The 14,579-nt window shown below is 39.1% G+C and overlaps 1 protein-coding gene across 7 annotated transcripts in view, besides 1 other annotated feature; it reads right to left on the bottom strand.

The window, feature by feature from the left end:
* Window positions 1-14,579, bottom strand: part of AHCYL1 (adenosylhomocysteinase like 1) — a 38,978-nt gene that overhangs the window by 9,958 nt on the left and 14,441 nt on the right. For 4 of the 7 annotated variants that reach the window (NM_001242673.2, NM_006621.7, XM_011540535.3 and 1 more), the window contains exons 2-5: window positions 4,640-4,751; window positions 2,428-2,571; window positions 1,323-1,423; window positions 786-888 (exon numbers count right to left, since the gene is read on the bottom strand). In NM_001242673.2, the coding sequence (NP_001229602.1) occupies window positions 786-888; window positions 1,323-1,423; window positions 2,428-2,571; window positions 4,640-4,730 (439 nt within the window). In that variant the 5' untranslated portion in view covers window positions 4,731-4,751. Of the gene's footprint in view, window positions 1-785; window positions 889-1,322; window positions 1,424-2,427; window positions 2,572-4,639; window positions 4,752-9,333; window positions 9,838-11,467; window positions 11,556-12,796; window positions 12,859-14,579 lie in introns of those variants that run through there. The other 3 variants (NM_001242674.2, NM_001242675.2, NM_001242676.2) reach the window with 3 other exon arrangements.
* Window positions 1,292-1,341: an enhancer, noted in NCBI's record as "active region_1458". NCBI's record gives its function as "activates an Ori minimal core promoter by ATAC-STARR-seq in GM12878 lymphoblastoid cells {active_cell/tissue: GM12878}" and the evidence as "EXISTENCE:reporter gene assay evidence [ECO:0000049][PMID:35858748]".

The raw sequence follows: 14,579 nt of genomic DNA, 5'->3' as shown, positions 1-14,579 counted from the left end.
CCTCAAAGAAACTTCACGGTGATTTTCTTCTGAATATTTGAATAATAAAAATTATTATTATTGTTATTAATTTTTGAGATGGAGTTTCACTCTGTCGCCCAGGCTGCAGTGCAGTGGCATGATCTCGGCTCACTGCAGCCTCTGCCTCCCAGGTTCAAGTGGTTCTCCTACCTCAGCCTCCTGAGTAGCTGAGATTACAGGCGCACACCACCACTCCCGGCTAACTTTTGTATTTTTAGTAGAGGTGGGGTTTCACCATGTTGGCCAGACCGTTCTTGAACTCTTGGCCTCAAGTGATCTGCCCGCCTCGGCCTCCCAAAGTGCTGGGATTATAGGCGTGGGCCACCAGGCCTGGCCTGAATAATAAAAAATTATTTTACGTTTAATTAAACTCACAAATAGCTCATATATTTTCAATGCCATACTGAATACCAAATTATTTAATGCACTATCAATATGAAAGGTACTTCTTACTTGTGCTCTCTCACAAAATTGATGGCACTTATATAGTTTAACATTCTTCCTCGTTCAACTAACACTAGAACTGGGCATGACCCCATGCCATTAGATTATTTTCAAAGGCCATTTTTAATGACTACATAATATTCCACCATGGATATCCATCTTAATTTTATTATCCACTTTCTTCCTGTTGAGGTTTTTATCATGCACAATTTTATAGCCTCTAGACATATATGATATTGTAATGACAATTTTGATACAAAAAAGTTATATGTTTGGATAACTATTTTGGGGCAAAGTTGGTGGGAAAAAACCGAACTTACCAGCCTCAGCCAGTGCTGCAGCTACTTCATTCTGAGTTGAGTAGATGTTACAAGCAGACCAGCGGCACTGAGCCCCCAGGGCACAGAGTGTCTCAATCAACACCTGTGTAGAAGTGTAGGAAGACAGGGTGAGGAAGAGAAGGGCCACCCAGGAATGGAGAGCAAGCCTCATCAAGATAGCAATACCTATCAACTCTGCACCAACAGGTGCTACACTGGAAAGTTACAAAAGGGTGTACTCCAGCGAGGTGGTGCACTGGTATTTAACTTTGCATAAAACATAGGTTTCTAAAAGTCTTTATAACATTTTATAACAATCATATGTTTGCAAATCTAGACTTTCCTAGGTCAAGTTTGCTGAAAGTGGGTTTACATATTAAAAAAAAACCCAGAAAACCCCATTATTGTGTAACAGGGAGATCCTATTAATAGTTAGCATTTGGAGGTTGGCGAGTTAGGAAAGGAAAAGTGAAAAAAAAAAAATTGATTTCTTTCTTCCCCTTATCAGAAGTCCCTCTTTTCTTCCAACAAACTCACCGCTGTCTGGGCTGTGATGTGTGTACAGCCCACTATTTTAGCACCAGCCAAGGGCTTCTCCCCCTGAGCACGTTTCCTGAGTGAAATCAGAGCAGACATGTCTGTGAAAGAACAGAGGATTTGAGCTAGGTCTGCACTAGCAGTATCATCAGTTCCTGCCCCAGGGCTGGTCTGGATCTGTTGAGATATGGTGAGATGAGGCAGAAAAACTTTAAGCCTATTTCCATGACGACTGGCAGCTTCAACGGCACAGTAATAGTGGAGAGCAGTCATGCAACCACTTGGAGTTTCTCTCTTCCTCTACTGCTTCAGCTTTATACACAGAGGACTGAACAGAGAATGAAGTAAATCCTTAAAACTGATCAAAATGAAGGGTGAGTCTCATCATTCATTTGGGAAGAGAGGAAAATAGTTAAGGCATTGGCTAATAGATTCCTATATATAATCATCAGACCAGAAAGACTGTACCCTCAGCCGAAACCACTAACTTCTGTTTTTCTATGCTGTCTTACCATGTCCTGTCAGTCTGTTTGGTTTCTCTATTCTCTCTCAGTATAGAACATGCCTTCAATGTGTAAACAACACAAGAGTAAAGAGGACCTTACTGGGAGTGGCTGGGGTAGAGAAACCAAGATTTAACTGTCAGTCACTTTTACTCTGCTCCAGCAGAGGGTGCTCAGGACCAAACAAGACTCTAGGTCACCACATCCTTACCTTAAAACCCTTCCTCATCAGCTGCTTCTGGGCAATCTGGGTCTCTGCCATTGGCAGCTATAGTAAGATCCCATATAACCAACTACCACGTAGTGATCTAGGACTTGTCAATTCTGCCATGTAGATCTTTGAATACAGTGGTGGGGTGGGGCAAGGAGGAAAACAGAAACTACTCTGTGTGTAATCACCACATGCTGAGAACAGAAGGAAGAGAGAACAAAATCCCAAGACTTAAGTTCCATAGAGAGAGAAGTGTTTATCCGAAAGTCCATAATACTGTCTTTCTTCCCAGTACACTTTCAAGTCAGCTTTCAAGTCTTAAGTTGTTTGTGGATTCTGATGGCCAACAAGAGGGTTGTTTCTGGTCCCCTAACCCACTCCCTTTCTTTACCTTGCTCTGCAATCTCAATCTCCCGGCGTCCAAATTCTGCCTGCTTGATGTTCTTCACACAGAAATTGCTGCTGCCCTTGGAGTTGGTTTGCTGCTTCTCTCGGGGAGAAACCTCATCATCAGAGCTATCTGTGTAGGATGCAGCTAGAGCCAGGAAAGAAAAAAACAAGGATAGAAAAACCTCAGTGGTCCCCAACTCTACAGAGTGCAGTCCCCAAGGGACTTTCATTTAAGTTAAGGGAACACCCTTAATTGGAGCTACCTTTTACAACGCTCTCAGTTCTGCTCCTCTAGGTTCTAATAGGTGGTATGAATGAAACTGTTGTGGGTACTTCCATGTTGCAGCTCTTTCACCCACCCTAACAATACTGTGCTATTAGTGCCTATGACAAGGGACCACTGATTATAAACCTGCAGCTATAGTAATCCCAGATAATAGAGGTACTTGGTCCCATCTGGATTGGAACCAGACCTGGCAAAAACAGAAGAATAATTTAGGGCAGATAAGGAATGCTATTTCTATAGATCACTGGTTCTCAAATTCAAGCATCTATCAGGATCACATGGAAGGTTTGTTAAAACATATATTGCTAGACCCTGTGGCCAGTTTCCCATCTGGCAGGTATGGAGTGGCACCTAAGCATTAGTAGTTCCAACAAGTTACCAGGTGTTGCTGATGCTGCTAGTCAGAGGATCACACTTTGAGAACCATGGATATAGACAAAAGTGATAAGATAGTCTTACAAGGGATTTTACACTAAGTTGTGCTCAAGGAATAGAGAAAGAAAGAAATGGCACAAAAGGCAAACAGCTCTGGTTCTACTGATAGCCCTGGGAAAGTCTGTCAAAATGATCAACTTTAAAAAGTGGTTTCACATAAAAGCTAAAAATACCACTTATCTGACAGATATGCAAGAGGATATACAACAATCATTCCTTACCTCTCAAATCACTTCTTTCCTCTCTGAATTGAGTACTTTCCTCATCACGGTTTCTGCTAGTATACCTGGACTCTCTCACTGACTGACTTCTATGTACAGGTCCTCCTCCTGTCCAGCTAACACAAATACTACTAAAGATTATCTTCCCCACTATGACATTTTAACCATATCACTAAGCTTTTTAAAAGGCTCTAATACATTTCTGTAACATGGCCGTCAAGATCTTTGAAGACTTTTTAAAAGCCTTCTTCAGTCGTTTTATCGTTCTTCCTCTCATAACTCAATTTTTCACAATTAATTTTTCTTCTTTCTTGGCTACAGTTAGCCTGCTTGTCACACACCACTTTTTATCTGTCACTCCAGGATCATATATAACAGCTTTTCATTTATGTTAATCCTTAATGTTGATAATACAATGCAAAAGGTATTCTGGCAAAGGACAATGAATGGCTTTTGGTACAAATATCTCTGCTGACATTAATAGCAATCTGTAACCTCTTAATCTTTTAACAATGAGTCTTCAGTTAAACAATGACAAGGTTGTATTGGATGCCCCATTAGATGTCCCTAATGTTTTCTCCTGTATTCATCTGCCAAGATTCTATATTCTTTTCCATGCTAATTTTCTAATACATGCTCTATAGTTGGGAAAGACACAATACAAAACAGAAAAAGACTTTATTTACAGAGAGTTAAGACAGGAGGAGAGAACTAAAAAGAAACAGAGCTGGAGTTACATTACAGTAGTCTGAATCTTTCCTGCTCCAGAGTCTAACAGGGGAGGATATTCCAACAGAAAGAATAACCTAATAAATAAGAGAAGCCAAAATACTAATTTTATTGTTACAATCTAAGCAGTCTTGGAGACAAGAAAGAAAGAGATAGGTGACAGGGTATATTTTACACAAAGAAATCGTGCTTCAAAATGCACTTCTTTTTTAAGTCCAATTCTGTCAGCCAAAATAGCATTGATTTCTTCCTTTTGAAATGGGCGGATCAATGTGGGAATGGGAACTAGCCCAGTCCTACCAACTGGGCACTGGCCACAGACCACACACACAGACAGCCAGGGGGAAGAAAGTCTCGAGTCGACAAAAGCTTCCCCAGCTACTAGCTTGGCTGCAGAACATTCCCACTGCCCAGCCACTAACAGTTTTCAGCACAAAGGTGGGCAGTCATAACATGAGGTATTTTCAGATTGCTAAGTGAAGAGCACTGGTAGCAAACAGGGAAGAGAGATTAGAGAGGACATGGAGTTCATTCACACCTACCTGAACTGTAGCTGTCAGTGGAGGACTGTGAGATCGAGCGAGACAAAGATCTTCGGCCAGTTTTGGTGGGGAATTTGGTGAACTCCTGCATGTCATCAGCAAACTGGATTTGCTATACAAAAGGAAGACAAAAAGTTGAAAACTTATAAGGAAAATCCATGAAATGTTTTTTTTTTTAAGGATACATTGTCTTTCCCTAAAAGCCATGTAATCACATGGTTCCTACTAAGCCAGCAACTTTCCCACCAGAAATGGGGGAAGGCCGAGGCTACTCTCTGACTTCTCCCAACACGTCAATCACTGTCTCTTCCCAATTGTTTCTGCAGGATTTGGGAGGAGGGGCTAAGGTTAAGAACCAATTTCGTTTAGTATATGTTCAATTTTATAAATCTTTCTCACATTCCATCAAGTTTTTTTCCCCTCTTATAACCCTGACAGATTAAACTCTTTACCCTTCTTCCCAAATCTTTCAGAAAACAGAATCTCATAGTGCTACTGGGGTTTTTTGGTTTTTGTTTCAGAATATTCCCTTGTAGCACATTCCTAAAGTTGGCAAATGGTCTTGCTTTCTGAAAGAATTATGAAGAGATGCCTAGAAATGGTGATGGGCATTAGGGTGCCAATACTCAGAGCCCAACCATATGTCTATACTTCACAAAGCCAATGTAATATCTCTAGAACCTCCTATCCTATTAAAAATTTAAAATACCAGAATATAATGATAAAAAGAAAATTAAAAACCCACATACACTATAGTAAATTCTAACTCATTAGGACTAATCTGAAGGAAGGAGAAAATAATGACTTGGTAAACTTTGTATTAAAAACTTCCTTAAATGGGCCAGGTACAGTGGCTCACGCCTGTAATCCCAACACTTTGGGTAGATCACGAGGTCAGGAGATGGAGACCAGCCTGGCCAAGACGGTGAAGCCCCGTCTCTACTAAAAATACAAAAATTAGCTGGGCTTGGTGGCGGGTGCCTGTAGTCCCAGCTACTTGGGAGCCTGAGGCAGGGAATTGCTTGAACCCGGGAGGTGGTGGTTGCAGTGAGCCGAGATCGTGCCACTGCACTCCAGCCTGGGTGACAGAGTGAGACTCTGTCTCAAAAAAAAAAAAAAAAAACCCAAAAAAAAAACTTCCTTAAATGAAATAAGCCAGAACTAGATAATTCTTTGAAGAATAAAACTGGCTCTAATCAATAGCAAATAGCTTGCAATTGATATTATTTATAGATTTATAAAGTGTGTAACACTTTTATTACATGGTTTAAACCTTCCTCCCGAACTCCTGTTTAAACTCTGATAAACCCTTTCTTCAAAATAAAATAAACTTCACCCCTGAAATAAGCAGGATGGTTTGAGTATGTGAACTGAGATTCTGTTCACGATCTGACTAAATCTGAAAAGGTTCCCTTGGAGAATCCATTAAGCTAAGTCTTTAGCAAATACTCTGGAAATGTAAATGACTACAGATTAAAATCTTCTCTGTATAATACTGGCAACATGGTTACAGCCACTTTAAAGCCAGGAACAGTAAACTACCCATTAGTTACAGCTGCAAAAGCTTCTCCTCCTCTTTCACATGTACCCTTCAGCTAGGGGAGCACCAGATTGCAGTGCAGCAATCAGGTTTAAGCGGGCAGCCTAGGCACAAGCAGCTAATATAAACAAATTGGAAACTGATTTCTACAGTCAGTAAAGCTAGTTTTGCTGAAGAAATTAATCCAGGACCAAGGTAATGACTTCCAACTCAATATGCTGTTATTTTGATGATGGAAAAAAATACACAGTCAAGAGACCATCAACCCCTCTTAACACTCTCCAGAGGCAGCCCTTCCTCCACCAGCCTCCCTGCTGCTGGCATATGCAGCCTATTCTATTTGGAAGCTACTCTCCCCTCTGCTATGATTCCTTCCCCTGTTCGCCTTTTTTCAAAGGGTTCTGGGCATGTTCCCAGATACCAGGTACATGGAGGGTGAGGGTGGGGGAGGGAACTGCAATAACACTTGCAGTTTTTCATATAGAAAGGTGGCTGTGGCAAGAGAGAAATGTGTTTCTTCAGCAACTTAAAAACCGAATAGTCATAATTTCCCCTTATATTAATAAAGCTCATCAGTAGCCTAAACCTAAGCAAAATCTTTCCCATCTAAAAATACTGGACTGTGTTGCAAGCAGCTTAGCAGCTTACTAACCAGTGCAGTGCCCCTACCTCCCCATCTCTCAAATAATGAATATGGTCCATATTTGAAGTGGGTAGAATGTAGTTAACCCAAGCCATGGCAAGGATGAATGGACTGTGTATTCTTGCAGCTGTTTGACATTCTCACCACTTATAAGGTGTCCCAGCAATACAAAGATGCATGAAAACCTGGTCTTTTCTTCCACCCCAAATTACAGCCTGAAGAGAATGTGTGTTACAACTGATGCTGTGGAATACATCTGCTCTGCCAGTTTCCTCCAGACCTGCTAGCTCCACTGATTATCTTCACAGCTAGTAGCTCTGTTTTCTCTTGGTGAAGTATCTCCTGGAGCATTGTTCACCCTCACGTTGAAAATATAAACACTGCTGCCAAAAGCAACTTTTGGATATCACAAGTTTTCTCTCCAGATCTCAACAACAGCCTTCTGATTGGGTTGGACTCACTCATTTAAGGCAAATATGATAATCTGGGTAAGACGAAAAGGAAGACTACAAAGTTGTTCTGTTTCTATTAATTCCTATCATCATAATTTCTTCCAAACATTAAGTCTTAATTACTGTGCTTTCACCTTTCTTCAAATCTACATCTACAAGGAATACTACACCTAAGTAAAAAGTAGGATTGGGAAGAGAAGGAATGGAAAGGAAATAAAGTGGCTGAAATGCAGAAAGTATCTTTAAGTAAAAAGTCTTATGTTAAAGAATGATGTTATGCTTGAGTAACTCACCACCCCATAAACAGCCTTACCCACAACTGAACAAGCATACCAGTGTTCCATTCTTACACTAAGAGCATATTTATGAAAGGCTAGAAGGTCAGATTGACCCATTCTTCAAATAGCACACCCAAATACAGAAGTCTACTTGCTGTGTCTTAAAAACCCAATTAAATATCAGGCCAGTTTAACATGCTATTTAAAGCACCTCTTCAAATAGCTTAGCAGGTACAATGGTTGACTTTCTTCCATGTGATACTGAGAATGGTAAAGAAAAGCTCTACCAAACGAATAATTTGGGGTATATGCACTACCTAGTGGGAAGTCTGCTGACAAAGTGAGCTGAAAGAATTGTGCAGACCTTACCAAGAGAAGGGGATCAGAGACAATCCAAAAAAGTTACATACCTCAAGAGAAGAAAAATTGTATGCTATTCCTTTAGTTGATCCTAATTGATTTTTTTTTTTTTTACCATTAGAAGCTGAGTTTACTTTCATAAACACACATCCTATATTCTCAGATGTTAAATAGCCCAGCTACACTCCTTCCCAGGGCCCACCCAATTTTGCCTGCTATCTCCTGAATGAGAAAGAATTAACAGCCACCAGAATTCCACTACAACATTTTAGCCAAGAAATGGTGATCAGGATAATATCTGTGATGCATTATATTCTTTAGTCATCACATTTGCTAGGCACCAACTAAGTATCCAGTGCTACTCCAGGAAAGTTCTATGCAAGGAAACACGGTCCCTTAAAATCTGTAGACATGTTTTGACCCACAGTATAGTAATGTAAGTGGCTTTGGCATGGAATTTCACTGCTCCATGAGGAACATGCCAGATATTATAGTCTTCACAGCCTTATCTGGATATTGTTTAACTTAGGTTTAACTTAGACATCTTGTCAAATTCGTTATTTCAAATACCAATCTAACAGCTTTTAATTTCCTCAAAAAGGTTTCTTCCTAAGTGTCAAGAACTAGATTCAAAGATAAACAACAATTACTAGGAAAACAAATCATTAAGAAAGTGTAATGTAGAAGTGAGCAGAGCAGTCTTTCTTACTGCAGAGAATTATTTGAAGGGCTAGGATCCCTCTTTTGGTACACTACTGATTCTCTGGGACATTCCTAAATTTATATATTCTGTCCCATTGTCTGTCCTAGCATATTGTGTGCAGAGATTTTTCTGTTTAGAAATTATGGTCAGCATATTTCTTAGCAACTGAGCAAAAAAAAAGTAACAATAAAAAACTAGATATTTTAACAAGATCATCATTACTAAGCATAGTGTGTCAGAACACTTTTCAAGATTCCTACATCTTTTCTAATCCCTTTTTCACACATATTTTCTGGTTAATTTATTTTTTCTTCTACAGATTCTACCCTCACCCACTCCTTTTTCAGAGGAAAGGAAGAGAATATGGCAGACAGCCAAAACAGGTGTAACACCTTTACTTCCTTACGTTCTCTCTCTTTTTAAAGAGACAGGGTCTCACTATGTTTGCCAGGCTGGCTGCAAACTGCTGGGCTCAAACAATCTTCCCACCTCCTGAGTAGCTAGGACTATAGGCCCACACCACCATGCCCAGTTTTTCTTGATATTTACCAGTCTGATTCCCACTTCAGATGAACCCAAAGAAACAGTTATCAATAAACACCCACTCCTTGGTACAAGAAATACACAAGTCTGAATACCTTTCACTTCAAGTAAAAAAAAAAGTGTTTCCCAAAGAAAGGAATTCCCTTCCCAACACAATGCTCCCAGACACACCCACCAGAAAACAACTTATCTCAAGGGAATCAATCTCAGGCCAGAGTTGAATCCACAGCCACCTCCAGTCACTTCTTCCATTCCCTTGTGCAGAAACCAGTCTTCTGAGACTTAGCAGGTTTTGGCTGCTCCCGGCTCTCCTTCCCTGTCTCAAGTTTCTTAAGTTCTCACTCTCCCCAGATGGGGCCTGAGTTTCTTGGGGGAGAGGGAGGGCAGGCTGACTAATCTCAGCACATATCTTCCCCCGCCGACTCCCGCCTCTGTGTCTCAACAGTAACAGGATATAACACACACACAGCTAGAATCCAATTCCACAGTCAGAAGCAATACTCCTTTCAAAGTAGGACTCAACTAGATCTTCTGTCAATGCTCGCGGCGAGAAGAGGTGAGGCAATACCAGGCCCCAAACTGCTGAGTCACTTAAAAGGTAAGGAACACACAGCTTGAAAAACTCTGCCAAAGAGTAGTTTGACCCTTGTGAGCTACTCCCCTCTCTTCCTGTAAGACTAAACACTTCACTGACTTCACTTCACTATTATCTCCTAAAGTGCTCCAGTCAATGAGTAATCGAGGCCTGCAACTGCCAACTAGAAGTAAACATAAGAAGTTAGAAAAAAGGCAGTAAGTAGGACAGAAAAGGGCTTCCCAATCTTTTGAACACCACAATTTGCAACAGAATGTAACACACACCCAGACTGTTTCAATGCCTATTTAGCTATCTACTACCTACCTAGTTGCCTGACCTGTCCATACTTCTTTTCTCAGTCCCACCACCAATATTATATAAACACATGCCAGTCATCTCTGTTTCTCCCGATATTGATTTATCATCAATTCTAGGTTTAAAAAAAAAAATCAGTACAGGTGACTGAAGAAATCCTGGTTCCTGGAACATACCCACTACTTTAGTGACAACATTAAAGTCTCCTCTCCCACCCCCTACCCTCCATCCCCACTCGCTAGCACCATTGTTGTACTTTACTTTTCCAACTTTATTATAATCATTTTCAGCACATAAAAAAATTCAAAAGCATAGTATAATAAACACCTGTACTCTCCACCTAGAATAAATCTTTCCGTTTTCCATAATAGGTTTTTTCTCTCTCTATATATATACACATACACATGCATACTTTCACATGGTCCTGTAAAAATAAAGGTTGCAAACATGAACATTACCAATAAATTGTTCAGAATGTATCTTCTAAGAATAAGAATATTCTCCTACAGAACCATGATGACATATCACACTTAATATTAACAATTATTCTATATATTCATATATCCAGACTGTCCAGATTATATTCAAATTTCCCCAATTTTCTCAAGAATATTTATTTATATCCCAACAGTCTCCTCAACCCTGCCAACCCAGCATGGATTCAAGGTTCATTAAATGCAGTTGGTTGTTAGGTTCCTTTAGCCTCTGCTAATCTAGAACAGTCTCTCCAATGTCTCCCACCCCCTTGTGATACTGACTTTTCTTTGAGGAATCCAGACTAATTGTCTTATAAAATCACTCATGTTTTGAATTTTTCAGAGGGTTTCCTTCCTATAAACTGGAAGTTCAGTTCTGAGGTTTTATTTGAAAAAGGTTAAAATTCTGGCAAGAATATTTCCTGCATTATGTAGTATATTTCACCTTGCATCATTATCAGGAGGCACATGTCGGGTTGTTCCACTATTAGCAATGCTAAGATTGAGTCCTGGTTAAAGTGAGAACATCAGATCTCTTCTTTGAAAGGTACATTTTCTCTTTTGCAAGTAAAAGTTAATTTGTAGGGCAATACTTTTTTCATCATGTTAATATCCTATTCCCTAATGACTTCACCATCTGTTAATAATCCTTGCCTGAACCAATTATATTGGGAAGGTTATAGAATCGCAACTTCTATTTTTCTATCAATGCTTCCACATTAGCTGGCATTCTTTTGTAAAGAAAAATCTTCTCCCTTTGTCATTCAGATTTTTATGTATTTAACAGATTACACTTAATTATACATTAATTGCACTGAATACTCATATTGTCTCAAATTGGGCCAGTGGGAGCCTCCTTCAAGCTGGCTCTTCTGTCCTTTGACATGATTCCATTACAGTCCTTCCACTCTTTTTGACAAAAGAAGATATACCAGGCTCACCTTGTTCTTCCTCTTCTCCAAACCTGGAATCAACCATTTCTCTCAGGAGCCTTTCTTTTAGAAGGGAGTAGTATTTAGAAGCTAATACCTGGAGTAAGAGGTGTGATAATTGCTATTAGAGATGCACTACTCCTAGGTTCTTTTGGTAGAGAGAGAAATCAATCCTTTTACTTATGAGTTCATATTGATATTTCTACTTCAGATTTAGTATTACCTTTTTTAAAAAAAGTTTAATTTTCCTATTGTATGTCTTGTCTCTAATGTTTGTTTATTCTATAATGCATACAAAAGTTTCAAAATGACAAGACTAATGTTATTACGCACCAAAATTTACTGAGTGACGTGTCAAGGTTTCATTGAAGTTCTTCTCGTCCTCAGAATATATTTCATAAAGATATATAATCAAAGTACTATTTTCTGTGTGACTGAGTAATCAATTTGATATATTAGGTTAAGATTTTATATTTTAGTTGGGTTCATTCCTTTGTGTTTGTAAGAACTTAAAGCTTTCCTTTTTTCTCTTTGATTTTGACATATAAAACATTTACATGTCTCAAAACTTTAAAAGGTACACTCAGAGAAGTTTCACTGCTATTCCTAGCCCTGATACTCTACGTGTCCCTCCCCATTTTCACTGGTTTCTGGTTTATCCTTTTTATGTTTCTTTTTAGGAGTGTGGGAAGCGAATACATATTATTTTCCCTCCCTTACTCAAAAGGTAGCATGATAATATAGTCTGCACCTTGTTTTTTTCACTTGGGAATCATTTTGTATTGGTTCATAGGGTATAAGAACCAACTAGTATAGGCTCAGGGAAATAAAAAGCTGTCAAGGCCGGGTGTGGTGGCTCACGCCTGTAATCCCAGCACTTTGGGAGGTCGAGCAGGGTGGATCACCTAAGGTCAGGAGTTTGAGACCAGCCTGACCAATATGGTGAAACCCATCTCTACTAAAATTACAAAAATTAGCCGGGCATGGTGGCGTGTGCCTGTAGTCCCAGCTACTCAGGAGGCTGAGGCAGGAGAATCGCTTGAACCTGGGAGGCAGAGGTTGCAGTGAGCTGAGATCATGCCACTGCACTCCCGCCTGGGCAACAGAGCGAGACTCCGTCTCAAAAAAAAAAAAAATTAATTTTGTATAGCAAAATATTGGCAAATTTTGTCAATATATATCACTGCTAGAATATCACTGATCTAAATATTTTACAAACCATTTTTGTTGAACTCTTGGCATACAAAGAACAAGCATCACTGGTAACACCACCTGATAGCACTACATGAAGATTTTTACTTAAAGTTGATTGTACAGGAAGTTTGAAATCCCACTTACTAGTAGGGTGGACACCAAGATCCTGAATGCCTAGATTTATATGACTTTAAGTGCTTTGCCTCAACACCTGTGGCTTACAGTTTACAGAGGGTTTGTATTTTCAAAACATTCTAGAATCCTTTCAATGTTGCATCTATGCTTCACAAATGAGAAAACAGAACAGGGGTTGGGGCTAAGTGACTTGCTTAAGGCAATTTGCTACCAACACTGAGGTTTAAAAAGCAAAAAGCAAAAAAAAAAAAGAACAAAAACAAAAAACACCCATAAGCCCAGTTCTATTTTCCTTCTTTTGGAATAGGCTGGGGAAACAGCAGCTTTCCCCTTTATTTCCAAGGGGTCAGTTTACCTTGGAGTGGTCTACTGTTGCACTATAAGCTTTCTGAGCTTATAACACCAGATAAAGATTTGTAAGCACTGGTAAAGGAAAATAATTCTTTAAGTTCCAAAAACCTTTATTAATTTTCAGAAAAGTAAAATGATGCAAAGAAATGTAATGTTTTTACGTTGCCAACAAATTGCCATTGAAAAGTACTGCTCCATAGATCTGGAAAGGGTGAGGAGAGCCCAGTAATAGCAGAGCCCAAACACTGTGGTAACAAAATGTTCCATTCTAGAATACACTTCCATTGTCTTCTGGGGATGGAGTAAGGAGGAGAATGTATGGGCAATCTAATCTAGACTACTTTACTAGGACAAAAGAAATTAATTCAGAATTCCCTATTTGTATGATTTCCACCTGCGTTTAAGCAAAATTTTTAGTTTAGTATGGTCAAATTGGCCACTGATTTTTTCTTTTTCCTCTTTTGGTCACTGGGGAAATTCGCTGGTTATTTCATGAGAAGTTACCATATTCTAAAACATGCAACAGAGAATATACTTTAAATGTGCTTTTTGAAGAGGTTTATCCTGTGCTGAATGGTGCTGGAGGAATATTTCTTTCACACATGAACACTTAGCACAATCAGATAATTTCTTTTAAACTAAAAACATTCCATTAGGTTCCTTTCTCATCTGTGGTGTGCCACTCAAAAAGCACCCTTTCCAAGTCTTATGTCTAAAAGATCTAGCACAGCTGAATTCCACCAACAGAAAAAGAGTTATATTTGGCCAGGTGCAGTGGCTCACATTTATAAACCAAGCCTGGGAGGTCGAGGCTGCAGTGAGCTGTGACTGTGCCAGTGTACTCCAGGGCAACAGAGCAAGACCCTGTCTCCAAAAAATAAAAATAAAAATAAAATAAATGTTGTATTAAATTTGAAGACCTCAGGTTAAAAAAAAAAAAAATTTTACCATTGATGTATTTCTACTTTCTGGTACCACCTTTCTGACTACTACAACTAACAAAAGTTCTTGTAAGGCTATTATTTTTATTGAAGTATTCTGGATTTAAGTAACATGATATCTGATTACTGAATCTTGGTTTCATAGTTATGGTAGATATTTATTTAAAGTAATCAATTAAATAATCTCACTTTTATGTGCAATCTAAAAAAGCCAAACTCATGGAAGCAAAAAGCAGAAGGTTCTTACCAGGCGTCAGGAAGGTGGAAGAAATGAGGAAATGTTGGTTAAAGGGTACAGTTTGGAGTTATAAGATAAATAAGTTCTGGAGAGTTAGTGAATAGCACAGTAACTACAGTTAACAATAACATTGTATACTAGAAATCTGCTAAGAGTAGATCCTAAGTATTCTCATCACATACAATACACACACATATACACAAAGTAACTATGAGGTGATGGATATATTAACTAGCTTGACTGTGGTAATAATTTCACAATG

This window comes from Homo sapiens, chromosome 1 (genome assembly GCF_000001405.40).
Source record: "Homo sapiens chromosome 1, GRCh38.p14 Primary Assembly".
NCBI classification, from domain to species: Eukaryota; Metazoa; Chordata; class Mammalia; order Primates; family Hominidae; genus Homo; species Homo sapiens.
This window is presented reverse-complemented; position numbering and strand designations above follow the sequence as displayed.